The following is a 26,537-nucleotide window of genomic DNA, read 5'->3' on the forward strand; positions in this document are numbered from 1 at the left end:
TATTTGTTGTGTGCCCTTTAATAGCATAAAAATATACCAAGAATGTAAAATTTTTTTAAGTTAGTATTTTTATTTTAAAAAGTGTGTTAACTTTTAACAGGTATCCACTTGTCGACTAAGAAAGGATCAACAAGCAGAAGATGATGAGGATGACGAGTTAGATGTTACAGAAGAAGAAAATTTTCTTAAGTAAACTACACATTTCCATTTTCATCATAAATGACTTGAAATCCACAATGACTAAATTGTAGAACTTTATACTCACTTTGCTATGTTAAGCCTCAAAGTGAAGTCCAACTGGAAACAGAAAAATAATTAAAGGAAACTTATGCTGACCAAAAATGAAGGCTTTAAAAAATATTGCATACCAGTCATTTCAACATCCTACCTAGTGTTACATGATTTTTGTGTAAGTGCCTTTTTTTTTAAAGATGGTGTATTTCAAAGTATTTCATATTAATGTACTATATCTACTTGAAGTTCCAATAGTACATTATGACAGAAACCAAAAGATCTAACAATTCTGCTTAGCTTTTTGGTTAAGACTCCATGCTTTCATTACCAGAAAAGGGTCTTACGTAGTCATTATGATTCATGGAATTCTATTCCATGAAGCCTTAAGAAAAAAAACTTTTTTTAACTTTCCCTGAAACTTTATCATTTGATAAGTAAATTTACTTTTCAAGAAGAGTATAACCAAAGAGTAAAGATAATGTGACACTAAGTTATCAATGTTTTATGAATACACATAAGGCATAAATTTCAGCTGTAAAAAAGCTACATTCAATCTGACTCTGGTTTTAAAACAAAACTGCTGTCATAATTATACATGATACTGCAACTTTTGGAAGGCTAATTTGGTGGAATGTTGCCTCATCATAGAACACCATAGATCATTAAAAATTCTATAAAAATTTTACCAAGCTACCATATAGTTAATAAAAGGGTATACAGTCACTTTTATTTCTGAAAATATAAAACATTGAGCCTTTCAGTGTATCTGATGCTTCTCTTTTGGTAAGGAATACTTTTATTTCATGGATCCCAGGCAGGCATATAAAAGTTACGGAATTTATAAAATCATTTGGGATAATTAGAAAATGCAATTATTCATAACAGAAAAATAAAGACTTTCTAGAAAGCTTCTGACTTTGTCAATCATGGCTCTGTTCTTAACAAAGCACTCCTTCCTGAGAATAGTCCTAAGTGACAAAGTTGTTTCAGTACTTTTTTGTAAAATATTTAAAACATTTTAAAACCCTAAATTGATATTCTTAAGAAACTCAAGATATCATTGGATATTTACTGCTTCCTCACTCAGTATTTAAATTTGGTTGTACTTCGGGGGAAAACAACAGAGTTATTATTTTGCTGCTTACTAAATAGCAACTTCTCTTGAGCATTATTTGCCTTGTTTGTAAAGTTAAAACTGCGTAAAACAGTAATTCTGGAATAAAACATACATTCTGCCTACCTCAAAGAAATATTCTAAGAACAAAAGGAATACTATCCATGAAAATACTTTCATTAATGTAAAATTTTCATTATTTAGACCAGCCTAGGTTGGCAAACTTCTTAAAGGGCCAGATAGCAAATACTGTTATTCTTCGTGGGTTTAGGCAAATTCAAGACTATTATACAGGTAACTATGTAACCATGTAAGACTTAAGTACACTTAAAAAATGTGAAAAACCATTCCTAGCTTCCACTACAACAACAACAAAAAACAGGCAACCAATCCAACCAACCCAGCCTGTAAGTCTCCATCTCTTATCTCCAAAATAGGAATACAAATTGAGTATCCTTTATCTGAAGTGCTTGGGACCAGAAGTATTTAAGACTTTGGATTTCTTCAGATTTTGGAGTATTTGCATTATACCAGTTCAACATTCCTAACCCAAAAATCTGAAATCTTAAATGCTGCAATGAGCATTTTCTTTGAGCATCATGTTGGCACTCAAAAAGTTTGTGATTTTCGGAGCATGTGAAATTTCAGATTACCAGATTAGGAATACTCAACCTGTAGTACATTTACTAGGATTATCAGAATTAAATGATAGTTAATTCATACATAATTATACATCATATAGTATCTAATACAGCTCAATAAACAACAGCTAATATTTACTGCAAAAACAGAGGCAGCAAGGTCACTACTTAACAGGTGATATATGGATCAAGAATCACTGCTCTTAACAGTGATCTCAGTAAATTAATAGAAATGCACTCCTAACATGATTTTTACCTATCTCTTGGTTGTGGGATTGACTTTCTAGACATGATCTACATTTTTTTAGATAATTTCTAGACAAAAATGTTTGGCTTTAAGACAAATGCCACTGGGTATCAGGCTAGAGAATACACCTCCAGTGTACCTGGTATACCTTGAGGATAGGAGAGGAAAAACTGGCTATGAGACGACAATTACTGAAGCTGAGTGATGTGTACATGAAAATTTACTATTCTTTTTTTATATTTGAAATTGATGAGGTGCTGGGAAGCTGGCTTTCTGAGGGGACAACAGGAGGGGAATTCCTTGATTTGCTGCATTTATCACTTTCCATGGTGTAAAATACTCCTGCCATGGCCAATTTGTTATTGACATATCACTAAAGGCAGAGTTGGAGAGAGATGTGCAAAGATGGCTCCCAACTAGAAGATACCACTTTCTGTAATCAACTTTTTATAATGAAGTTTAAAAATATTAAGCCCTGATACATTATAGGGTAAAAGGAAATATTCATATAAATTAATTTAAAAATCAAAATACAAGGCTGGGCACAGTGGCTCACACCTGTAATCCCAACACATTCTGGGAGACCAAGGAGTGAGGATTGCTTGAGGCCAGAAATTTGAGAACAGCCTGGGCAACACAGTGAGACTCTGTCTCTACAAATAATAAAAAATTTAGCCAGACAAGGTGGCACACACCTGTAGTCCCAGCTCTCAGGAGGCTGAGGCAGGAAGACAGCTTGAGCCCAGGAGTTAGAAGCTGCAGTGAACCATTATCAGACCACTGCACTCCAGCCTGGCCAGCAGAACAAGACTCTGACTCTTAAAATAATAAAACTACAAAGCTTATGTTTACTCTAGCTGGCCTCTTATCTACCACCACCATCCCACCTCAGCCCAGTTTGAAATGCAATTCCACAGTAAGTAATCCCTCACGTTAAGCTTCATCTTAGCTTTATTCCTTTGTATCTGAGAAGCATTTTTTAACTTTCCATATATTATTCAAAATGGGTGACCAAATGAACCATCTATACAATCTTTGCTCAATTAAAAATATCATTTCTACTTTCTTCATTGTGCTTGGTTTGGATATTCCAAACAATCAATTTAACATTATCCTAGCTACTTACAAGCTTATACTTTAAAGAATCATACTGAGGTGCTTTTTCATATCAAATTTACCTGTTTATTCATTCCATAGCAAGCAGGATATTCACTATTTAAAACAAATTTAAGCAGATTTCTGTTAGATTTCTTTAAATCACTGAAAAGTAACACAAAAATACATATAGGTAGTAACTAAGTACTGACAAAGTATTCTACCTATGCAATATCCTATTAAATGTCTAAATTACCATATGTAAATTTAATTGTATTATTTACTCAATGGGGAAAATCTGGATTACAGAACTGAGGAAAATTATGTTTTATGTAAATTATAAAAGGCCAAAGTCAATCATGTTGAATAAAATAATTTTGAAATATAAGCCAGTAATATACCATATGAGTATCCCAAGAGAAACCCTGGATAGAAAGAAACTTTTAAAGTCACTCTTTTTTTTTTTATTAGTAATGTTAATGTTTGAGCTCAGTGTTTGAGCATGCTGGTTTTACCTATTTATGCTAATTTTAAACCAACAATTGAAGTGAGAAAATAATCATTTATCCTTGAAAGTATCTTTAGCATGGTCTTCCTAATTAAAAATACCACTTAAAAAAGTGAGGCAGCAAAAGCATGAACTGGAGTCAGTGGTCTGTCTGGGTTAAAATTGGCCCCACGATTTACTACCTATGACTTCAAGCAAGTTGCTTAACCTCGCACTTCATCCCACTTCATTATCTCATTTGTGAAATAGAGGTAAATAATTAACCCTGTACTCACAGGGAATACCGAGATTATGCATGTAAAGTGCTTACAGTGCCTAGCACATAGTAAGTGCCTAATAAATGTTAGCCATAAATATTATTGTGGGTATAGAAAATCAAATTCCCTAGTTGCAAAATGTATGCACTAAATGCTGAATATCAAAGAAGTCAAAATTCAACCACACAAGTCTTAACAGTTATAGAGTCTTTGCATGGACACAGTTTCGAAGCTAAAAAATGAGAACCTAATATTACATGCAAGTTATGTGACTCATCAGTAAATTCTTCCTAGAAAAACAAACTATACCACTTGTCAGATTCTTCCAGCATAAGCCTGAGTCCCCTTGCACCTATAATTAGATTCTTATTTTACTATCTTTTGCGTATCTTGTATTAATTTTACTTGGTTGATAAGATGTTGAAGAAACCATGGAATTATACACAGCACTATACATTATTACTATAGAATGTCTGGTCCCTCCCATCATAAATATGGTTTAATGAAGTTATTGAAAAACTTCACAATATCGAGCTGCAATTCTTTTTTCTTTTTATACAAATACAAGTTAATTAGCTCTATTAAGTTGCAATTTTATTTTTATAAAGCTTTGTAAAGTTATGAACATGGAAACCCTAAGAATCACCTAAGCTTTTTACATAAGTAAATTTCAAGTTGACAGTCTGTCCATTTTGAACTATTTATAATTAACAGGACACTTAACACAGTAATATCTTAGACAAGGAAGAGGGCATTAATTCTGCAGGCAGGTAGCAATGAAAATGCCAAACCTGAACAATCAGTCACTATTTCCTTATACAGTTTGAGTAAAAGAGGTAGACTACAGAAAGAAAAAAAAAAGTGAATATAAAATGTATCTTCCCCAAATACAACTCTACTTCAATAAGTCTTGAAGATTACCGATGACATCAACAAAAATGAATGAACTCAGGGAATGAGTTCTTTCTCCCCATCAAAGAAAAAAACAGCATGTGTAATTTTAAATTTGAAAAAAAAAAAGAATGGCAATTTGCAAGCAAAAGAAAACCAGATTCACATTCTACTATTTACATTTGTTCTATTCACAGGTCAAAAATAAAATATTTCATTAGATAATTTAAAAAAAAAACACTTTTTTAAAACAAATGTATTTTACTCCATCAATACTGCAAGGAAGATAACTGAATTTAGAAATGCTCTCTCTCTACAGCAAAGTTAACTTAACTTTTCGGGGCCCAACTGGCCTATCATTTAGATCTTTAATAGCAGCCATAGCTTCATTATAGTTTATCATAGCAACAATGGCTTCCCCTGTAGGTAAGCCTTGCTCATTATACTGTATCGAAACTGAATCAGGTATGATTCTGTAACCATGGAAAAAGTCTAAAATTTCATTCACATTAGCTTTAAATGGAAGATTCATTATCTTAATAGGAGTTACTCTACCTGAACCACAATTTATTTTTGGATCAGGCATAAATCTCCCCTCAGGAAAACTTCCCATATTATGCTTTCCAAAATCAAACTTGCCACCTTCTGGGCGACCAAAATTCACAAAAGGGCGGTGACTTCTAAAATCATCAGGCGGGCTCCTAAAATCCTCACCAGGAGGTCTAAAATTGTCAGGAAGTCTAGGGTCCTCCTCCGGAGCTTCCCTAAGGTCTTCCTCTGGGAGCTGCCTGAAGTCCTCATCAGAAGGGCATCTAAAATCTTCCTCCTGGGGGCTCCTGAAGTCCTCATCAGGAGGGTGCCTAAAGTCTTCATCAGGAGGGCCCCTGAAGTCTTCATCTGGTGGGTGCCTGAAATCTTCCTCTCGGGAGCGCCTGAAATGCTCCTGAGGCGGCCGCCTGAAATGCTCCTGGGGCGGTCTCCGGAAGTGCTCCGGGGGCGGGCGCCTGAAATGCTCTGGGGGTGGCCGCCTGAAGTGCTCTGGGGGTGGCCGCCGGAAGTGCTCTGGGGGAGGCCGCCTAAAATGCTCTGGAGGTGGTCTCCGGAAATGCTCTGGGGGTGGCCGACGGAAATGCTCCTGAGGTGGCCTCCGGAAATGCTCCTGGGGTGACTGCCTGAAGTCCTCCTCAGGGGAATGCCTGAAATCCTCCTCTGGGGGCCGCCTGAAGTCATCCTCGGGTGGTCGCCTCCATTCTCCCTGAAGAGGCCGCCTAAAGTCCTCCTCTGGGGGCCGTCTCCAGTCCTCCTCAGGTGGCCGCCTGAAATCTTCCTCTGGGAGCCACCTTAAGTCCTCCTCAGGGGGTTGCCTGAAGTCCTCCTCGGGGAGCTGCCTGAAGTCCTCCGTGGGAGACCGCCTGAAATCCTCCTCCAGTGGCCGCCTCCAGTCCTCCTCAAGGGGCCTCCTCCAGTCCTCCTCCCTAGGGTGCCTGAAGTCATCCTCCGGAGGGCGCCTGAAATCTTCCTCCCAAGGGCGCCTGAAGTCCTCCTCAGAAGGCCGCCTGAAGTCTTCCTCCCTAGGTCGCCTGAAGTCCTCTGGGGAGTGCCTGAAGTCCTCCGGGGGGAACCTAAAGTCCTCTGAGGAGTGTCGGAAGTCTTCTGGAGGGTGCCTGTCAGGCTGCCGGAAATCCCTCTGGGGATGCTTGAAGTTATCCAGTTGCCTCAAGTCCTCTAGCTGATGTCTAAAGTTTTCAAAAGCACCAACTGAGTATATTGGTGGGTCTTTTGAGTCAAATAAATGGGAATGGTCACCTCGCTCACGTGACTGTGAGCGAGCTTGCATTTTTTCACTGGACATCACAGAAAAATTTACACCAAACTCCTGTATTTGTGCCTCAGATATAAGTCTTAATAACACCTCTGTCCCTAGGAATCTTCGTCGGTTTAAACGTTCAGCTTTCATGGCCTGTTCTTCTGATTTAAATTTCACTAATGCTTCTCCCAGACCAACACCTTTGTCATCATAAAGCAAGTAAATGTCATCCTCAGCAAGAAGAAAGTCTGCAAAGAACTTCTGCACTTCAACTTTTGTAACATCAAATGGAAAATTTCTTATATAGATGCACAGTTTCTGGCCAGAGTTACCTTCTTGAGAGTATTTTTGTGAAACATGTCCGGGCCTATCTCTCTCTAGTGACCCTGATCTCTTCTTTTCATAACGTGCAATGAACTTCAGCATTTGTTTTCTAGAAATTGGATCAATATGAACTGGACGATATTGTAAAACAGTCTTATGTAAACTCAGAGCGGTATTATAGTCTTTCAGAGTCTTGAACATCACAAAGGCATATCTTGTTCTATTTTCATCTTTATATAAAAACCTAATCTGTTCATCAGTCAGATCAGTACCTCTAAAGAAATTTCTTAAATCTCTTTCGTCAATACTGAGGGACAGATTTTTTAAGTGAACATAAAATCCAAGAGGGGAACGAGAACGTGTTCTTCTGGGAGATTTTGAATGAGACCGTTTTCGAAAATGTCTATCATTAATTCCTCTTGGTGGAGAATGTTCTTCAGATCTCCTAAGAACGTCACCCTCCTTAACTGCATTACCACCAAACTCAATCCACTGTTGTTCTGATCCTTGCATTACTTCTATAAATCTTGAACCCATAAAACTTCTATGACATTTAAGACCTCCTGAAGCATCAACACATGAAGCAAATTTTACTATGGCATCACCATTATTTCGGCCATCATGATGTTTTAAGAAAATTACTCCATCCACGCACAAACCAGAGAAAAAGACACGTACATCATCTTCATTTACTAGGTAAGGCAAACCTCGTAGAAACAAGTAAGGATTCTCGGCCTTCAATGGCCTTGTCTTTCTTGGCCTTAAATTACCATGTCCTGTACCATTAGTATGAAACCCAGCATCTTGATTAATTGAAGAGCCATATCCAGAATTACTTGCTTCTTCCTTAACAGACTCAATAAAATTAGACAGGCTGTCAACCCCTGATGTCCCAGATCCTGGACGCCCTCTTCCTACACGATCAGTTCTTTTCATTTCTATAGTCTTCTGCATTTCTGCCTTGCTACTAAGAAAGAGCTCTACAGATGAATCCTTGATAAACCCTCCTGAACGACTTATGGCACGTCTTGCATCTTCATCTGTTGCAAAAATAATAAAAGCCTCCCCAATTTCCCCTCCAATTATATGCACTCCTCCATCAGGAATAGTCAATCCCGTGAAGAAGTGACGAATATCCACAGGCCCCGCAATAAAAGGAAGCCCCAGTAAACGGATGACTACAGCCATGCTGAGCTCAAACCACAGCAATAATGACCTGCAGACAAAAAGGTACACATAATAGCAAGTCTTATTTTTGAAGTACCTTAGCCCAAACTAAGCTTAATAATTACCTGGTTCCTGCTTTCTTCAACATTTATAAATGAAAACAAGATACAAGTTCACAAAAATACTGATCATATCTAATTATTAAAGAAAACAAGGGATAAACTTTCTCCCATCTAAAAATACAAATAAACCAACTACCTTGAAGAAACATTTCGTATCACCTATTCTATACAATAGGAACATCAAAAATATCAAATCTTCCTTTGTAAGTCTGCCAAATGCTGCTTCACAAGACCAAACTACTTTCAGACTCATTTAGAATCTTATCTTCTACTGAAACATGAGAGCTTTGTAGATTATTTTATCAACTGCAATGAATTTTACATATTTAGAAAAGTCATCTATGGTTAGTATATAATTTCTGCTCATGATAATAAATTGCCTACCACTGGCCAGACACAGAGAACAAAAGCCAGGGCCAGCATGATAGCTCATGCCTGTAATTCCAGGCTTTGCAAGGCCAAGGCAAGAGGATCGCTTGAGGCCAGGAGTTCAAGACCAGCCTTGGCAACAGAGCGAGAGCCCGTCTCTAAAAAGAAAAAATTAGCCGGGCATGGTGGCATGCACCTGTAGTCCCAGCTACTCAGGAGGCTGAGGCAGGAAGACTGCCTGAGCCCAATTTGAAATTTTCAGGATACAATGGGCTGCAACTGTGCCATTGCACTCCAGCCTGGAGGACAGAGTGAGGCCCTGTCTTTTTAAAAAAAAAAGAACAGAAGCCATGGATACCTAGATGTACTATTCTACTTCACATGTTTTTTGTTGAGCCTCAAAGCCTTAAACTCTGGATATCTTACCTTTTTTAAAATTTCTTGGAGACCTGTTAACTCTGTAAAAGCAACTTAACTGTGGAAAGAAAATGAAATATAATTAATCCTTGAACCCTGTAATTTATCTTAAACAACGCCAGAGTAGGATATCCATTTCAGAATTACCTATCAAAAGTGAAGCAGAATAAGGAACCACAATTACGGGTGTTACAAAATGGTCTTTTGTTCCAAGGGGAAATTAATCATCCTTCTGCAAAAAGGAGATACAATATCCAAATAGACATATAAAAATTATTTAAAAATTTGAAACTTGCCGAAAATTTAACAACTGCTCTTGATTGGAAGTAGCACGAAGAAAGGAGTGATGGAAATGTTACATATTTTGAATGCAGCAGTAGTTACATGGGTGTATAAATTTATCAAGGTTTACTGAATTCTATCCTTAGGGTCTATACATTTTGCTGTACACAAGTTTTACATCTACTTCAAAAAACTGTTCTACAAGTAAAATCTCAATACCCAAAGTTCAAAAAAAAAAAAAAAAAAAAAAGAACTTCAATCATTTTGCCACATGAAAATCCAAAAATCTAGTACATATTTATATCCAACTCTCGTGCTGTTCTCCTCCCTTTCAAAACATAAGACCAAATCAAATTAAGGCAACCATTCAAAATTACACAATAAATGAATAAAACAGCAAAGCCTGAAATTCAAAAATCAATTTTTAAAACAATAAATCCAAACCTATGGGCTATTGTTTGGATACAATTTAAAGGTCTATATAAACAGCTCATACATCCAAGCACAGAACCAAATTTCATGAAGCCAGTATAATTAAGGCAAATACTACAATATCCCTAAAGTTAAAAATCTCAATACCACTCCTATTGCAAAAATAGTAACTGTTACAATTCATCTCAAGCCAAACAGAAAATGCTATTTATCTTATTAATAATGCCAATAGCAGATTTCCATTTCAAACAACTATTCTGCACTCTACTAAGGAAACCCAAATGATGATGTAGAAAAGTAAAATTAAAAATTAACTTGGAATACTGGGATTACCCGTTTACTGAAAAATCTCAATGTAATTTTTTAAAGAAGTTTGCGTTTAATACTTTCAGGGATACCCAAACTATTTCATGAAGACTTGCCAAATAAATAATTATAATTTACACTCACTTTCTTTGGTGGGGGAGACAGGGTCTCTCTTGCTCTGCTACCCAGGCTGGAGTGCACTGGTGCGATCTTGGCTCACTACAGCCTCGACTTACCCAGGCTCAGGCAATGCTCCCACCTCAGCCTCCCCAGTAGCTGGGACTACAGGTGTGCACCACCACACCCGGCTAATTTTTGTATTTTTTGTAGAGCCAGGGTTTCACCATGTTGCCCAGGCTGGTAGGGAACTCATGGGCTCAAGCAATCAGCTCACCTCAGCCTCCCACAGTGCTAGGATTTACAGGTATGAGCCACTGCGCCTGGAGTAATTTACATGTCTTTAATGTACAAATAAATGTTGCGTTAATCCAGAATCCAGTACTTACACTTAAGTACCACTGTTCCCCAAAGTGGGGGTCTGAAGATACATTCACTGAGGTCTGTTTTCCTTTAAAAAAGGGTACGTAGATTAACCAGAAGCTAAACTAGCAAAGACATCAAATTACTTCACACATTCTACATCTGAAAAATATTAATCAGGTTTGCTATTAAAGTATTTGCACAGTAACAAAAAAAGAAAAAAAGCCTATTTTCTTCAACAAACCAATATCCATACTAACACTTCAACAAAAACTACAAATGGCTTCTGGAATACTTACTTTATCCATATTAAAGTCCCAAGACTCCCTCCTATGCAAATTGGCTTAGCTACTCTTTTTAAGATATTTTAGAAAGCACCATAAGCTATACATATTCTTGTCTCTCCTAAGCTTTTAAAAAAATTTTAACGGGATTTACCCTGGGAACATAAATTCATCTACAAGAGAAATTAGAGACGTTTCAAGGAATAATTATATCTCAAATTCAAAAAAACTCTAGTAATTTATCCTACCTCACTTAAAAACTATCTTTTAACCAAGTAGTTTCATGAGCACAAATCTCATGAATTCCAATTCAAGCAGACTATTTAGAAAGTTTATTCTCATTTGCCACAGTTAAACAAAACTAATGCTTAAACTTCTCTACCCTTGAGACAGTAGGGTAATGTACCATTTATGCCTCTACAATAACACACCTTGGAGACCAACTGTAAGAGACCAGCTCTCAAAATGGGCACTTCTGTGGTTCCAACATGCTATATTTCCTTAAGCAAATTCTCCAGAAATTCAACTCTTAACACACTAAATTACACAAAAGCAAAACACGAAAATTACCCTCAAGTAGTCTGCAATTAAAATTTTGCGTTTTTCTAGTTATGAATGCAAAAAGTATTTTTGTGCCTTTGTGTTCATTTGAAGACAATAATCTGTTAAAATTTCTATGAAAAGAAGAGTGGGTCCCTAAAAGATCACTTAAGTCAGTGAAATTTAAAGCGCATTTTAAATAACTGCTATTTTTATCCAACGATTCATCCCACTTAATCACCATTATAACTAAACAATACGTAACGTGCCTCTTCTAATCAAGACTTAAGGGGATACAGAGAGGGAAACGGGAGGGAGACAGAATTTAAATAAGTAATATCTCATCAGATCCATTTGATTTTTAACTAGCGAAGAAAAAGTCATTTTCCAGATATGGTGAGGGAGAGAATTTTTTTTAACTCTGCGACTACTTCGTAAAGCCCAAGGTCATGATGTAGCATATTCACACTCTAAACGTGAGTTTCCCCTGCAGAAAATAATCTACACCAACCCATAATTATTCTTTACGATGATCCACCTTTTATAATGTAGATGTTTAAAATAAAAACCAAAGGAATGACCAATGAGAGCCACAGTCCCTAGGAAGAACTGTAAATGAAGACGAATCCACATGGCACAGGATTTCTCCCAACATCCTCAAACGGGAATCATCCGAAGGCATCGATTCTACAGCCCAAAGCCTTTGTCCACAACTCCCAGGGGTCAGAGCTTCCTTCTTTCGCGCCAGGCCAAAGTTGCTACGTGGGATCCGATGTTGTCGCCAGACTTTCAGCCAAAATCAGCCTTCAAATTAACCTGGACCGCCCAACCTCCGTGCCTTTCCGTTACGCCGTCTCAAGGGCAAACATTCCACCCTAACTCGCCAGAGGGTGAACTGCCCCCAGATCTAACTGAAAACACTTGCCCTTCTCAAGCCTAACGAGCTGGGCCTGCAGCGCTTTTCTGCCACCACTGACTACGATGACATAGCAAAGAAAAAAATATACCTATGAAATCCTTCGAGATCTTCACTCTCAAGATCCCTGGGAAGCGCACATACACCACCACATGGAAGCTGACGGGAAAGGAAGAGTCGGTGTTTTAGCAAGAAAAGAGGGTGCCCTAACGGCAGGAGCTACGCTAGATACTGGCGCGGCCGCCGGTCCCGCCTTTCCCCGTTCTTCCGGCTTGGTCGCCCAGCCCTCCCCACCCCCGGCGCCCCGAGGGGAACTGCTTCGCACTTGGCAATAAACACACACCACTGCTGCCGAGTCGGACACACAAGGCCGGAGGCTGAGGGAACTCTTCGTCGCAGCAGCCTCCCCAAAACAGGTAGACCCTCAGTGAGCCCAGAAGAAGATGGCGCCCACTGCCCCTCCGGTCCGGACAAACGGACGTACGGTTTATCTGCCCATGCGCTCTGCAGGCGCAACCCACCACCAAGCTTGCGCACGCGCGCTGCCGCTCACCCGTTTCCCCTCGCTAGAGGAGGGGAGGCGGAGCCCCGGGGTTGGCTGAGCTTCTGCGCATGCCCAGATTCTGCCCAGCCCAGGGACCTCGACTTTCAACGGGAGAAATTCAGAGACACATTCAGGGCTCAGCCGGTAGATGTGCTGAGAATCTTCGGTAGACAACTGTCGAAGTACGGCGGACAAACTTTAAAGATTTCCAGAAGTTAAGGAAAGAGATGCAAAAGCAGAGAAAAGGCGACTTGTCTTTTCAGTGTTGCATTACTGTGTGGCGTAAAACATCTTCTAAAAAGCTCCTGTGGCCGGGCACGGTGGCTCACGTCTGTAATCCCAGCACTTTGGGAGGCCGAAGCGGGCGAATCACTTGAGGTCAGTAGTTCGAGACCAGCCCGCCCAAAAAGCGAAACCCCCGTCTCTACTAAAAATACAAAAAAGTCAGCCTGGCATGGTGGCGGGCGCCTGTAATCCCAGCTACTCGGGAGGCTGAGGCAGGAGAATCGCTTGAACCCGAGAGATGGAGGCTGTAGTGAGCCGAGATCGCACCGCTGCACTCCAGCCAGGTCAAAAGAGTGAAACTCCATCTCAAAACAAAAATAAAAAAGCTCCTGTAGACCCTAGAATACCACAGAAAAGGTAATTTTACTGCCTTAGATGTTCGCCAAGTACAATCCCAACACCTGGGGGCTTAATAAATGCATGCTTAGTCGGTTTTATAGATATAAATAACCTTGTGAAGTGTCTTTATAAATTTGTTCCCATCTTCTGGATTTTTGAAACAAGAGAACAGATGAGCCAGTACTGAAATTTCAGTAATGGAAAAGCACTATTACAGGTGTACTCTGTGATGCCTGCTACGTAATAGCTGGTGAACAACCTTGTGTTTGGTTTTATCATTTGCAAATAACAAAGTTTCCCACCACGTTGTATAGCTACTTGATGTATTTGTGGATGGATTCAAAGCTCATTAAGCAGAAAGTACATTTTAAAAACATTGTTACAGATGACAGAAAAAGTGAGTTGTGGATCCCTTTCTCACTGCAAAATACCCATTCTTTAATGATATGATTATAAGAAAGAAGAGGTAGTTTAATAAGTAAATAAAAAGATAGTTAACACAAAATCAGAGCCATCTTTTACTCACTGGACAAATTATTTAGCCCCTCTGTGCCTCAGTTTCTTCATCTGTAAAATGGGGATACTCCTAGTACCTACCTCTTAGGGTTGTGGGAAACATTCAGTAAATATGTATGTCTCAGATATATGTAAATAAGTGAGACTATTATAAGTATTTGTGACTTGTTTGAAATGTCAAGGTGATCTATACAGAAGCAGAGGATGTCACTCTGAGGAGGTAGGCTCATTGACTAGATATCATTTACCTTGATAATCCATAGTTTGGTCCTGGCCTTGCAGTCTCAGGAACAGGACCTTAAAAGTTAACGTTTATTGGCCGGGCATGGTGACTCACGCATGTAATCCTAGCATTTTGGGAGGCCGAGGTGATCGAATCACCTGAGTGCAGGAGTTCGAGACCAGCCTGGCCAACATGGTGAAACCCTGTCTCTACTAAAATTACAAAAATTAGCTGGGTGTGGTGGCGGGCACCTATAATCCCAGCTACTCAGGAGGCGGAGGCAGAGGAATCACTTGAACCTGGGAGGAGGAGGTTGCAGTGAGCCGAGACCGTGCCACAGCACGCCAGCCTGGGCGACAAGAGCAAAGCTCCGTCTCAAAAAAAAAAAAAAAAAAGTTAACATTTATTGAGAATTTATTATGTGCCAGGACGTATACATTATCTCAATTTATTCTTACAACTACTTTTGGAGGTAGGTACTATTATTATTCGTATTTTACAGATAAGGGAAACTGAGGCATAGAGGATTACAAAAGCCAGGCAAAATTGAACGTTGCTTGTTTGCCTGCAGAAGCCATTACTCTGTATTGCACAGAAAGAGGACTCTGTCCTCGGAAGCGGACTCCTTTAAACAAGAATACAGAAGCAATGCTCTAAGAAATAGAACATGAGTTACCTAATCTCAAAAGGTGATTCTCAGTTAAGGCTCCCTGGAGACATCCTCACTCATCTTAACAAAAGTAACAGTCATCATTTAATGACCACTTACTGGAGGACTCACCTGGCCAAGTGTGCTCAGGTCAGACTCTGTCCCCTGAGCAAGCTCTGACAGGCGTTTCCAGCCTCCCATGGCCTCCTTCATTGTTCTGGGCTGACCATCCTCCTTCTATTCACACAGTCTTTCTCCAGCGAGGACACTATATTGAATGTCTCTCCATTTTGGGTTTTTTTGAGACAGAGTCTCACTCTGTCACCCAGGCTGGAGTACAATGGTTACAATCCTGGCTCACTGCAACCTCTGCCTCCTGGGTTCCAAGGATTCTCATGCCTCAGCCTCCTGAGTAGATGGGATTACAGGCATATGCCACCATGCCTGGCTAATTTTTTCTGTATTTTCAGTAGAGACAAGGTTTCGCCATGTTACCCAGGCTGGTCTTGAACTTCTGGCCTCAAGTGATCCACCCGCCTCTGTCTCCCAAAATGCTGGGATTATAGGCGTGAGCCACCGCGCCCGGCCTGAATGTCTTTTCTAGTCTGCCCCTTGCCTTTCTTAGATGGTCATACCATTATAATCAGAACAAGAAAATTCTGATCAAGGTAATTTGAGCATAATCACATGATATTCTGGTTATTGAACAGTTTCTTGTGCCTTTGGTGTGTCAGCATGAAAACCTAATCATTTTGGGGAATCAAGAGAAAATGAAGTTTCTCCAGTGGAAAAACAGAAGACTAGCCCCTAAACATGGTGGCTGCACTGAGCTGTGGCCATTCTGTGACTCTGCTTGGATAATTAGCCTTCCGGGTGTTTTGCCACACTGCACCGCCACCCACCCTTCTCGGACAACTTTGGTGTCAGAGAGTTTTCAGTTGCCCTTCCTAGGTCTTCAGCATCCACACGCAGAGCCTTTTATTACTTGGTCTCGGAGTTCCTTAATCTTCTCAACTCCTGGGACCTTTATCTTCTCAACTCATGCCTTGATTTCTACTCTGAGAGCCTCCATACCTTGACTTCCAGTCAATTTGTAACCCAGGGTCCTGGGTTTTGGGTATGCACTGTGAAAAAGTACCCACTTGTAACTGTTGCACCTTGCATTCTTGTTGTTTCAGAAAAGTTCTAGGAAAAAGCCCAGCCCCAGAAAAACAAAAACCAAAACATTTAGATCCAGAAATGCCTGAGTGAAGATGAACTTTGGTGAACTCCCCTTACAATCCTGCTAAAATCCCCACCCAGGGAAGAGCTTATTCACCATTTTCTATACATGCAACATGTGTAGAAGCATGATCGGCAATTGTGTCTTCGCTGCCTTTACTCCACCTGTACATACAATGACTGAGCTAACCAGCCCAATAAAAGCACTGTTTTCACTGTTGCTCGGAGAAGCACTGCTTTAGGAACTATCCCCAGTGTCGTCCTTACTTGTTGCAAGTAATGAAATCCCCTTGTTAAATCTGCTTTGGTTGTGATCATTGGACTGTCACCTTCCAAGCTAACAAATCCACCTGTTGTGTAGGTAACAAATCTAGTATTTATTAAGCATCATTGACTATGAGTCAAGAACCTTGCTAAGTCCTCTGTATCACAGTTCCATTTAAAAAAAAAAGAAGAAGAAGAAGAACCTTGCTAAGGCTCCTGAAAGACAAAGATAGAAAAGATATTGTCCTCTTTCCTCAAAAAGCTTACATTCTAGCAGAGGAGAAAGCACACACAATCCAATAGTCATTACACACAGGAAGATGTGTGTATAATGAGATTAAGACAGTGGGCTGTCAGGGCAGGCAGACCCAAGTGTGAATACAGCTATGCCACTTCATGACTGTGAACAAATTCCTTATATTTCTTCATTGAAAAAGTAAAGATAAGGCCGGGCGCGGTGGTTCATGCCTGTAATCCCAGCACTTTGGGAGGCCAAGGCGGGCAGATCACCAGGTCAGGAGATGAAGACCATCCTGGCTAATATGGTAAAACCCAGTCTCTACTAAAAATACAAAAAATTAGCCAGGCGTGGTGGCACGTACCTGTAGTCCCAGCTACTCAGGAGGCTGAGACAGGAGAATCACTTCAATCCAGGAAGTGGAGGTTGCAGTGAGCCGAGATCACGCCACTGCACTCCAGCCTGGGCGACAGAGTGAGACTCTGTCTCAAAAATAAAAAAATTTTAAAAAAAGCAAAAGAGTAAAGATAATAGTACCCGCGGTACAGGGCAGTCATGAAAAATGAATGAAATCATTAACACTCAGCACAATCCCCAGCACATAGTAAACTCCAGTATAACTTAGAAATCAAGAAGGTTGGCTCAGAAATCAGAATATCATAGTTCCAAGCCTAACTCTGCCACTTGCCAGCTATATCACTTTAGTTGCTGAATCTCTCTGTGCCTTAATTTCGTCATGTATCAAATGAAGATGACAATAGTAGGGATGTTGTGTAGAAAAAATTAGCACACATATACATATACATATAAACATTAAGCAAGACATGTAGTAAAACACCAAGAAAGCCAGATAGCATGTTTCCCTGATGTCCCTCATGCTCTTTGCCAACTTGTCCCCTGCAGTGGTCTTCAGAGATGCAACTACAAAACTCCTAGGGATTATTGGAGCACAGTTTGGACACTGCTGATCAAATAAGGGAGCTTGGTCTGGTCAGTTGTGTGTGACAGAAGTTAGATTCAAGAGACTCAACAGAATTAAATGATTTATGGTAAATAGAACTGAACAGGACCTCCAAATTCCAACTTGGATAGTTTTTTGCCTGAGTTAAATGGGAGTCTTGTCTCTGGGGTCTTGACTGACAATCTGTCAAAGTTGTAGGTTCAGAAAGGAGTTATGTAGAAAGAATACTGGATAAAATCTCTTGGTTTACTGCTGGAGCTTTGGATCACAAATCTCAGGAGAATCCATTTAGTAAATGGGGCAAGACCCCATGTAAAACAGGATGTCCTTCTGCTTAGTGTTCCTTTCCCCCTGGGTACCATCCAATCCCAGGTATATAAAACAGAAGGAAGCAGCAAGAGGAAGACCTAAGGATCTAAAGACAAACTCTAAAGAGAGAGAGAATTTAAGGAGAAGACCAAAAAGTGTAAACTCAAATGTTAACAGCGATAGGTTCTTGGGCTCCCAATGCAATGCAATAGAAATTGACATGAGGCCAAAAAAGTTTTCCCAGGCAAGGCTTCATTGGAGCTTACACCAAGGCATAAGAGGGAGAGAATTCCCTGACTGACTCTCCAAAGAAAAGAGTCAGTTGGGCTTTTTTATTAGACAAAGCGTGGGAATTGTCATCAGGGATAGGGTATGCAGGTCAGCATTACTGGTTGCAATGCTTATCTTGAGTAATGGGCCACCTGGTGGATTGGCCTGAGGCAACAAGGCTATAAATAATTTGTTTAGTATTCCTTCCCAAGGTAGGGCACTCCACAACCTTGCTTATCTCCTAAGGCCAGTTCCTGGAATTCTTTAAGTAAAAGGACTATTAGCATTGTGACAGTGGTATGGATTTTGTGATCAGTGGGAATGCATGAAAGAATACTCTAAGTGAGGGTGAGCTGAAACCATGTCCTGTTCCTACTCTGTCTGACAAAGACCATGTCATATGGACACAAAAAAACTTCTGTCCTTTAGGACAGTGGCCAAGATGTGGTCGCCTGAAAAGTTTTTACTGCCCACTGCACAGACAAAACCAATTCACTGAGACCATGGTATTGCAGTAAAGAAAGAGTTTATTATGCAAGACTGGCCATGTGGGAGATGGAGTTATTATTCAAATCAGTCACCCCAAAGGCTTGGAGGTTAGAGTTTTTCAAGGATAGTTTGGTGGACAGGTGATTAGGGAATGGGTGCAGCTGAATGGTTGGGGATGAAATCATAGAGGTATGGAAAACAGTCCTCTTGCACTGAGTCCACCTCTAGGTGGGGGAGGGGTTGGGGGGTGGGCATAGGACCAATTGAGTCATGAGTCATGAATCCAGATGGAGTCAGTCTGAAAAATATCTCGAAAGACCAATCTTAGGTTTTACAATAGTGATGTTTTCTATGGGAGCAATTGAGGAAGTCACAAATCTTGTGACCTCTGGCCACATGACTCCTGGGCAATTAGGGATTATAGAAACTACATTTACAGTTTAGCAAAATTCAGGCCCCTCTCAAAATCTTAATCTTGTGGCCTTTCATTAGTTTCACAAGGGCAATTTTTGGGCCCTGAGCAAGGGGGGTTAGTTTTAGGAAAGGGCTATTATCATCCTTGCTTTCAAGTTAAACTAGAAACTAAATTCCTCCCATAGTTAGCTTGGCCTTCACCCAGGAATGAGCACCCCCAGCCTGTGAGGCTAGAAGCAAGATGGGGTGAAGCCATGTTAGATTTCTCTCACTGTCATAATCTTTGCAAAGGCAGTTTCAGAGGCTCTGTTGTCCTGGACCCAAACCCACATTGGTCCTCTGTCCTCTTCCTTGTGATGAAATGAGAGGAGAAGACATCAAGTTCCCCTCAGGGTTTGGAAGTCAACAATAAACTAAAGAAGGAAAGGAATGAGACACGTTTTATTTTCCACTGCAACAAATGTGTATTAAATGCTTACAATGTAAAACAGTTGTGATGGTGCGCACCAATAATCTCAACTACTTAGGAGGCTAAGGCAGGAGGTTTGTTTGAGTCCAAGAGTTTGAGGTGAGCCCTGGGCAACATAGTGAGACACCCCCAACCCTCCTTCTCAAAAAATTTAAAAAACAAAATAGCCAGGTGTGGTGATGCACACCTGTAGTCTCAGCTACTTGGGAGGCTGGGGCAAGAAGATTGCTTGAGCCCAGATGTTCAAGGCTTCAGTAAGCTATGACGGCATCACTGTACTCCATCCAAGGTGACAGGCTGAGACCCAATCTCTAAGAAAAAATAAGAAAACAAAATAAAATTGGCCAGGGGAGGTGGCTCACATTTGTAATACCAGCTCTTTGGGAGCCTGAGGCAGGAGGATCACTTGAGCCCAGGAGTTTGAGACCAGCCTGGGCAAAGTGCCAAAACCTCGTCTCTACAAACAATACAAAAATTAGGTGGGCATGCTAGTGCCTGTCTGTGGTCCCAGCTACCCAGGAGACTGAGGTGGGAGGATTGCTTGAGCCCAGGGGGCCGAGGCTACAGTGAACTGTGTCCGTGCCACTGCACTCCAGTCTGGGTGACAGAGTGAGACCCTTTCTCAAAGTAAATATAAAAATAAATAAAAATAAAATAATGATAGAAATAAATGCTTACAATGTGCCAAGCACAGTGCTATGCTGAGGAGGCAGTGGTGACCAAAACACACACACACACACACACACACACACACACACACACACACACACACACACACACGGTCCTTGCTTTTACAAAGCCTGCAGTTCAGAAAAGTAAAACCAATGAAAGAATTACCCAACTAAATGTGAATTTACTACAGGGATAAGTGCTATGGACGAGAAGTCCATGGTACTGTGAAAGTATTTCACAGGAGACCCTGGCCTGGTCAGGAAGGGTGGGAGATGTTCCCTGAAGAAGTAATGAATGAGCTGCTTGGAAAGTAGGAGTTAAAAAGATAAAAGGAAATTGCTGGGAAGGGGAGGGAGTGGTCCAGGCAGAGAAATGAAAAGGCTTGGCAGCATCCAGGGAAGGAAAATAAGGCCAGTGCAGGTACAGAGCACAGGAGCACACAGGACAATGCAGGGCTGCAGGAAGAAGTCAGACCATGCTGAGGGTTAGGGTTCATGTTAAGGACTTTGATCTTTCCATCGGAAAACCAGCAGGCAGATGACATATTAGGACTTGCATTTCAAAAGAGTACTCCAGCTGAGGTATGGAGAATGGAGTAGAGAGTGGCAAGAGTATGTTTGTGAAGACAGGTTAACAGGTTATTTTGGCTTCTAGTTTAATGTGACAGTTTAAACACAGGTATTTATCTCCACTCCTTCCAGAAATTCTAATAAAATAACAGGGAAGCAACTTTTAAAAAGACAAAAACTAACAGGAATAAAGAGAATAGGGTAAGAGGAACAGCAATAAAACTTTGCAAGCGGGAAGCAAGTGGATAGGTGACCATTTCTTCTATGGATCCAAGGGAGCTGAATCCTGCATTAACAGTGGGAAGAGCTAAGAAGCAATCTTACATGCACCAAAGAAGTCCTCAAAGGCTTAGGAGACAGTATCTTCTGTTTGTGGAGGGGAGTGAAAACAGGAGAAGTGGTTGAACATCAACTTTCAAAGCACTTTCCTTCCAATACCTGGAAACCTGTCTCTCCCCAACTCCAACAGAAGATTGAAGGTTTATTCTCAGTGCATTTGCAAACAAGGATTCTATTTAATATATGCAAAAGAACAAGGATTCTATTTAATATATGTAAAAGAAGGGCGTTATGTGAACGATGAAACTCACACCCTCTAAATATTACACCCAGGCTTAAAATCTCCAAGGAGAAGAATCTTTCTGAGAAATTTGATCAGCACAGTAGGATAGGGAAAGGGGACAGGAAGAATGAGGGATTGCCCTAAGAAACAACCCAGGCAAATCACTCCACACATTGTAGCCCAGTCAACAAGCCCTTCCTATCTTTGTAGAGCTTCTAATTAGCTTGTCAGTGTGCCGACTTTTTTTTTTTTTTTGAGACAAAGTTCCGCTCTTGTTGCCCATTCTGGAGTGTAATGTCGTAGTCTGGGATCACTGCAACCTCCACCTCCTGGGTTCCAGCAATTCTCCTGCCTCAGCCTCCTGAGAAGCTGGGATTACAGGCATGGCCACCACGCCCAGCTAATTTTTGTATTTTTAGTAGAGACGGGGTTTCACCGTTTAGGTCAGGCTGGTCTCGAACTCCTGACCTCAGGTGATCCACCTGCTTTGGCCTGCCAAAGTGCTGGATTACAGGCGTGAGCCACCGCGCCTGGCCACCCACTTTTGTATGTATGTAAATGGCAAAAGGTCCCAAGATTTAGGAGGAAAGCCTTTTATACAAAACATAACTTTGAAGAAACAGATTATGCAACAGAGGGAAACTTTAAAACACCACTAGTAATGTATTCTAGGAAATAAGATATTGCAGCATGGAAGAATTCAAGAATGCCATAATTAAGCTATAGCCAGAAAACAAAAGAGAGCTCTTAGAAATTAAATTTATAATAGAAGAAATGAAAAGTTCAATTCAATGTTTGACAGATACGCGCAGGAAAATCTTCCAGAAAGTAGAACCAAACAAAACAAAATGAAAAATGAAGCCTGGGCGCGGTGGCTCACGCTTGTAATCCTTGCACTTTGGTAGGCCGAGATGGGTGGATCACCAGAGGTCGGGAGTTTGAGACCAGCCTGACCAACATGGAGAAACTCCGACTCCACTAAAAATAACAAAATTAGCCCTGCGTGGTGGCACATGCCTGTAATCCCAGCTACTCGGGAGGCTGAGGCAGGAGAATCACTTGAACCCAGGAGGTGGAGGTTGCAGTGAGCAGAGATCGTGCCATTGCACTCCAGCCTGGGCAACAAGAGCAAAAAAACTCCGACACACACACACACACACACACACACACACACACGCCGGGCGCGGTGGCTCACGCCTGTAATCCTAGCACTTTGGGAGGCCGAGGCGGGCAGATCACGAAGTCAGAAGATTGACACCATCCTGGCTAATACGGTGAAACCCCGTCTCTACTAAAAACACAAAAAATTAGCCGGGCGAGGTGGCGGGCTCCTGTAGTCCCAGCTACTCCGGAGGCTGAAGCAGGATAATGGCGTGAACCCGGGAGGCGGAGCTTGCAGTGAGCGGAGATCCCGCCTCCCGCCACTGTACTCCAGCCTGGGCGACAGAGCGAGACTCCGTCTCAAAAAAAAAAAAAAAGAAAAAAGAAAAGAAAAATGAAAACATAATCTGAGAAAATTAGAGGAACAGTCCAGGAAGTCTAGTATCTGAAAAATAGGGTGTCCAGAAGAAAAAAAAAACGGAGAGAAAGTCTTCAAAGGAATAATTAGTAGAAGAGATCATTTCCCAGTGTTAAAGGACATGAGTTTCTTTGCTGAATTGCAAAGTTACAACAGGTGTTCCACACAAAAGATGACAATGAAACATGCCCAGACACATCACTGTAAAATTAAGAAAAATGAGAAGGTGGGGCACAGAGAGGAACATCCTGAAGACTTCAAGAAAGTAAAAAACAAGTTACACACAAAAGATTAACAAATCAAAAGGGCACTAAGTGTCTGGAGATTGGGAATGAACACAGGGTTCACCACACAAAGTGCCCCAGATGTAAGATCTGAACCTCACTAATTCCCCTTTCTCACCACAACCTCCACTTCTGTTTTTCACCTTCTTTGTAATATTTTAATTCATTAATCTCATCTTGAACTTACTTGCCTTTAGCTTTTCTTTATTCCTGCCCAGAAAAGCACATCCAGAGATTCAAAGGCAACAATAAAAAGCAGGGCTTAAGAGTGTGGGCTCTGCATTATCCAAAGCAAACTTGTCACAGAGAAAACCTCAAAATCAGGGTTCAGCCTGAGTGGCCATGTGGGTTCTCAGCTTCATGCAGGAAGGAATTCAAGAGCAATCTGACAGAATAAAGTGAAAGCAAGTTTGTTAAGAAAGTAAAGGAATAAAGAGTGGCTACTTCATAGGCAGAGCAATGGCAAGGACTGCTAGACTGAGTATATTTATGGTTATTCCTTGATCATATACTAAACAAGGGGTGGATTATTCATGAGTTTTCCAGGAAAAAGGTGGGGAATTCCTGGAACGGAGCGTCCTCCCTTGTTAGACCATGTAGGGTAACTTCTCTAAGTGGGCATGGCAAGGGGCAAACTGTCAAGGTGCTGGTGGGAGTGTCTTTTAGCATGTTAATCCATTGTAATTAGCATATAATGAGCAGTGAGGATGGCCAGAGGTCACTTTGGTCACCATCTTGGTTTTAGCAGGTTTCAGTCCTCTTCTTTACCTATCCTGTTTTATCAGCCAGGTCTTTATGATCTTATCCTGTGAAATCAGTCCTGCCAACCTCCTATCTCAAACTAACACAGGAAAGAAATAAAATACTGTGTGTTCTCACTTATTAGTTGGAGCTAACATTGTGTACAGGTGGACACAAAGAAGGGAACAATAGATACTGGGTACTACTTGAGGGTGGAGGGTGAAAGGAGAGTATGGATCAAAAAACTACCTATTGGGTTCTATGCTTATCACATGGGTAAGGAAATAATCTGATCCCCAAACCCCCGAGACACTCAATTTACCTATATAACAAACCTGCACATGTACCTCTGAACCTAAATTAAAGTTTAAAACAACAACAACAACAACAAAAACCCGAAGAAAAGTATGGGCTCTGGTGTCAAATTACCAGGGTTAGAACCATGAATTAAGTGTGACCTTAGAAAGTCACTTATACTTTCTAAGCCTTGGTTATTTCATCTGTAAATTAAAGGTGATGATAACAGTCCCAATTTAGGATCAAATGAGATATTGCAATGCCGGACACATTAAAAGTGTCTCCATGGGACTAGCCCAAACTGAGCCTACTCTGTTGATAACAAAATGTCGTGTTACCTTTTAGATGTAACAGAGCCAAAAACTGAAAGTCATGTAGCCCAGTCATGTGCAATAGAAAAAGCCTGGACCTCTAACAACACCCAAAACCAGTGAATCCTTTCCTTGGAACCAAGACCGGGACATGACTGGAACCTGAACTTGGAACTCTTTCAAAAGTGTTGGGTCCATTTGCCTGGAGGATCAGGCCTAAAATCGGCCTCTACGTACCTTTTTCTAAATGGTCAAATTTCAAGTCCTCCATTCTGCCTGCCAAGACACATTCCTAAATTCTTCCCTTGGCTTTCCAAGCCCATAAGTTTACCCCAGACTCTAAATCAGGGAAACAGATTTGAATGCACTCCTATCTCCTTGCTGACCAGTTGTGCAAATAAAGACTTTTTTTCCTCAAAAGCTTGTGCCACATAGTATTGGCTTCTGTGCATGCATTGGATAGAGAGCTCATTTGCTTGATAACAAAAACAAGCTATTAATACCTATTATTTCTATTATTATCCATACCTCTAGCTCCCACCATGTTAAATATTCCTATAACTTTCATTTCTACCTTAAAATTTTCTTTATCCAATAAGTTTTCGCTTAGAAGCTATCTACCACAGGTATCTTCCTTTAATATCACAACCGTCTACCCAGCCACCCAAATCAGAAACCTGGAAGTTATCCTTGATTCTGTTTGTTTACTTCCTATGTCCAAATAATAAAATTCTTATAATTCTTCTTCCTGAATAGCTCCTTTATTCATCCTCTTCTGCCTCTCCCTTCCTCCATGGCTCCAATTTAGACTCTAGATTTCTACCTTAGCCTCGCAAGTGGTCTCTAACTCTAAACGTTTCCATATTTTTGTCCAGGATTTTTTTTTTTTTTTATATAGGGTCTCTGACATCCAGGCTGGAGTGCAGTGGCACGATCATAGCTTATTGCAGCCTTTGGGCTCATTGACCTCCTGGGCTTAAGTGGTTCTCCCGCCTCAGCCTTCCAAGCAACCGGGACCATAGGCATGTGCCACCCACCCAGCTAATTAAAATAAATTTTATTTGTAGAGGTGGAGTCTCACTATGTTGCCCAGGCTGGTCTTGAATTCCTGGGCTCAGACAATCCTTCCACTGTGGCCTCCCAAAATGTTAGGATTAGAGGTGTGAGCCACAGCACCAGGCTTAGATTCCTTTATTCACAAAAGGTGTAAAGGTGATCTCATTTTATATACATGTCAACTAAAGAAAAAAATCAGGCTTTTAAAGACTCAAAGTTAGTTTTATTCGGAGTCTTACTGAGGAATGCAACCCTGGAGAGTCTTTCAAAGAGTTTATGTTATACTGGTCCAAAGCAGCTGTTCTGCCCCCAGTTTCTACATCAAGGGATGGAGTTCTGCATGTGCTCAAAAGTTACATTAAACGTGCTCAGAAGTTACGTTGGAGCAAAATCTCATCAAAGTTTTGTTTGGAGACTACATCTGGTTATAGATTACAGAGGCATAATCATTAATCCTGTCACACGTTATCTTACGTACAGGAAGAGGCAAGAGCTAGGATCGCTGACTGTATCTTTTTAAAAAATGAAGTGATTCAAGCAACAGATGTGAAAACTTGTGCTCTATCCTACTTATTGTCTTCAGGGCATTCTTCTGGAGGACTGCGTTCAGTCACTGAGTCAGGGGCTTTGTGAAATTTCGCTGGCAACAGAATGAGCAAACATGGTTTCTTCCGTTTCGTACTTTGTCTCGCATACATGATTTCCTATGCTCAAACCTGGCAGGAAAGTTTTTTTATTTTTTCAGTCTTTGAGCTATAGTAATCCTTCACTGGGTTTTAAGTCAGTGGGGTTTTTTGACATCAAATTGTTAAACTACAAGTCATGTTTCCTTTAACGTGAAAATTACCTAGTCTGAATAAATTCTGATGTAACTATAACTCGACAAATTATGATATTTTCAA

The 26,537-nt window shown here is 40.7% G+C and overlaps 2 protein-coding genes and 2 long non-coding RNA genes across 25 annotated transcripts in view, besides 1 other annotated feature; 3 read left to right on the top strand and 1 right to left on the bottom strand.

The window, feature by feature from the left end:
* The window catches only part of CIBAR1 (CBY1 interacting BAR domain containing 1), a 30,978-nt gene extending 27,555 nt beyond the window's left edge, over window positions 1-3,423 (top strand). For all 7 annotated transcript variants that reach the window (NR_156452.2, NR_156451.2, NR_156453.2 and 4 more), the window contains one exon: window positions 101-3,423. Coding sequence is in view for 2 of the 7 variants with exons in the window: in NM_145269.5 (NP_660312.2) it covers window positions 101-193 (93 nt within the window). In the remaining 5 variants the exon portion in view is untranslated. The remainder of the gene's footprint in view (window positions 1-100) is intronic.
* RBM12B (RNA binding motif protein 12B) lies at window positions 51-12,905 on the bottom strand. Of its 15 annotated transcripts, NM_001377961.1 has the most exons (5): window positions 12,777-12,905; window positions 12,525-12,592; window positions 10,720-10,781; window positions 9,203-9,251; window positions 51-8,334 (listed from the first exon to the last, which is right to left on the bottom strand). In NM_001377961.1, exon 5 carries the CDS (start codon window positions 8,304-8,306, stop codon window positions 5,301-5,303), a length of 3,006 nt encoding a protein of 1,001 aa, NP_001364890.1. In that variant the 5' UTR covers window positions 8,307-8,334; window positions 9,203-9,251; window positions 10,720-10,781; window positions 12,525-12,592; window positions 12,777-12,905; the 3' UTR covers window positions 51-5,300. The 15 variants fall into 15 exon arrangements, with proteins under 15 accessions (NP_001364890.1, NP_001364889.1, XP_047277728.1 ...); NM_001377960.1 differs by lacking the exon at window positions 10,720-10,781; XM_047421772.1 differs by having other exon boundaries at window positions 9,203-10,781.
* RBM12B-AS1 (RBM12B antisense RNA 1) lies at window positions 12,007-12,715 on the top strand. Its single transcript, NR_027259.1, has one exon. It is a non-coding gene; the product is annotated as an RBM12B antisense RNA 1 (long non-coding RNA).
* Window positions 12,812-12,931: an enhancer, noted in NCBI's record as "active region_27619". NCBI's record gives its function as "activates an Ori minimal core promoter by ATAC-STARR-seq in GM12878 lymphoblastoid cells {active_cell/tissue: GM12878}" and the evidence as "EXISTENCE:reporter gene assay evidence [ECO:0000049][PMID:35858748]".
* Window positions 12,979-16,430, top strand: RBM12B-DT (RBM12B divergent transcript). 2 transcript variants are annotated; one of them, NR_183449.1, is made up of 2 exons: window positions 12,979-13,619; window positions 16,168-16,430. It is a non-coding gene; the product is annotated as an RBM12B divergent transcript (long non-coding RNA). The 2 variants fall into 2 exon arrangements; NR_183450.1 differs by having other exon boundaries at window positions 12,979-13,355.

Source organism: Homo sapiens, chromosome 8 (assembly GCF_000001405.40).
Source record: "Homo sapiens chromosome 8, GRCh38.p14 Primary Assembly".
Taxonomy (NCBI): Eukaryota; Metazoa; Chordata; class Mammalia; order Primates; family Hominidae; genus Homo; species Homo sapiens.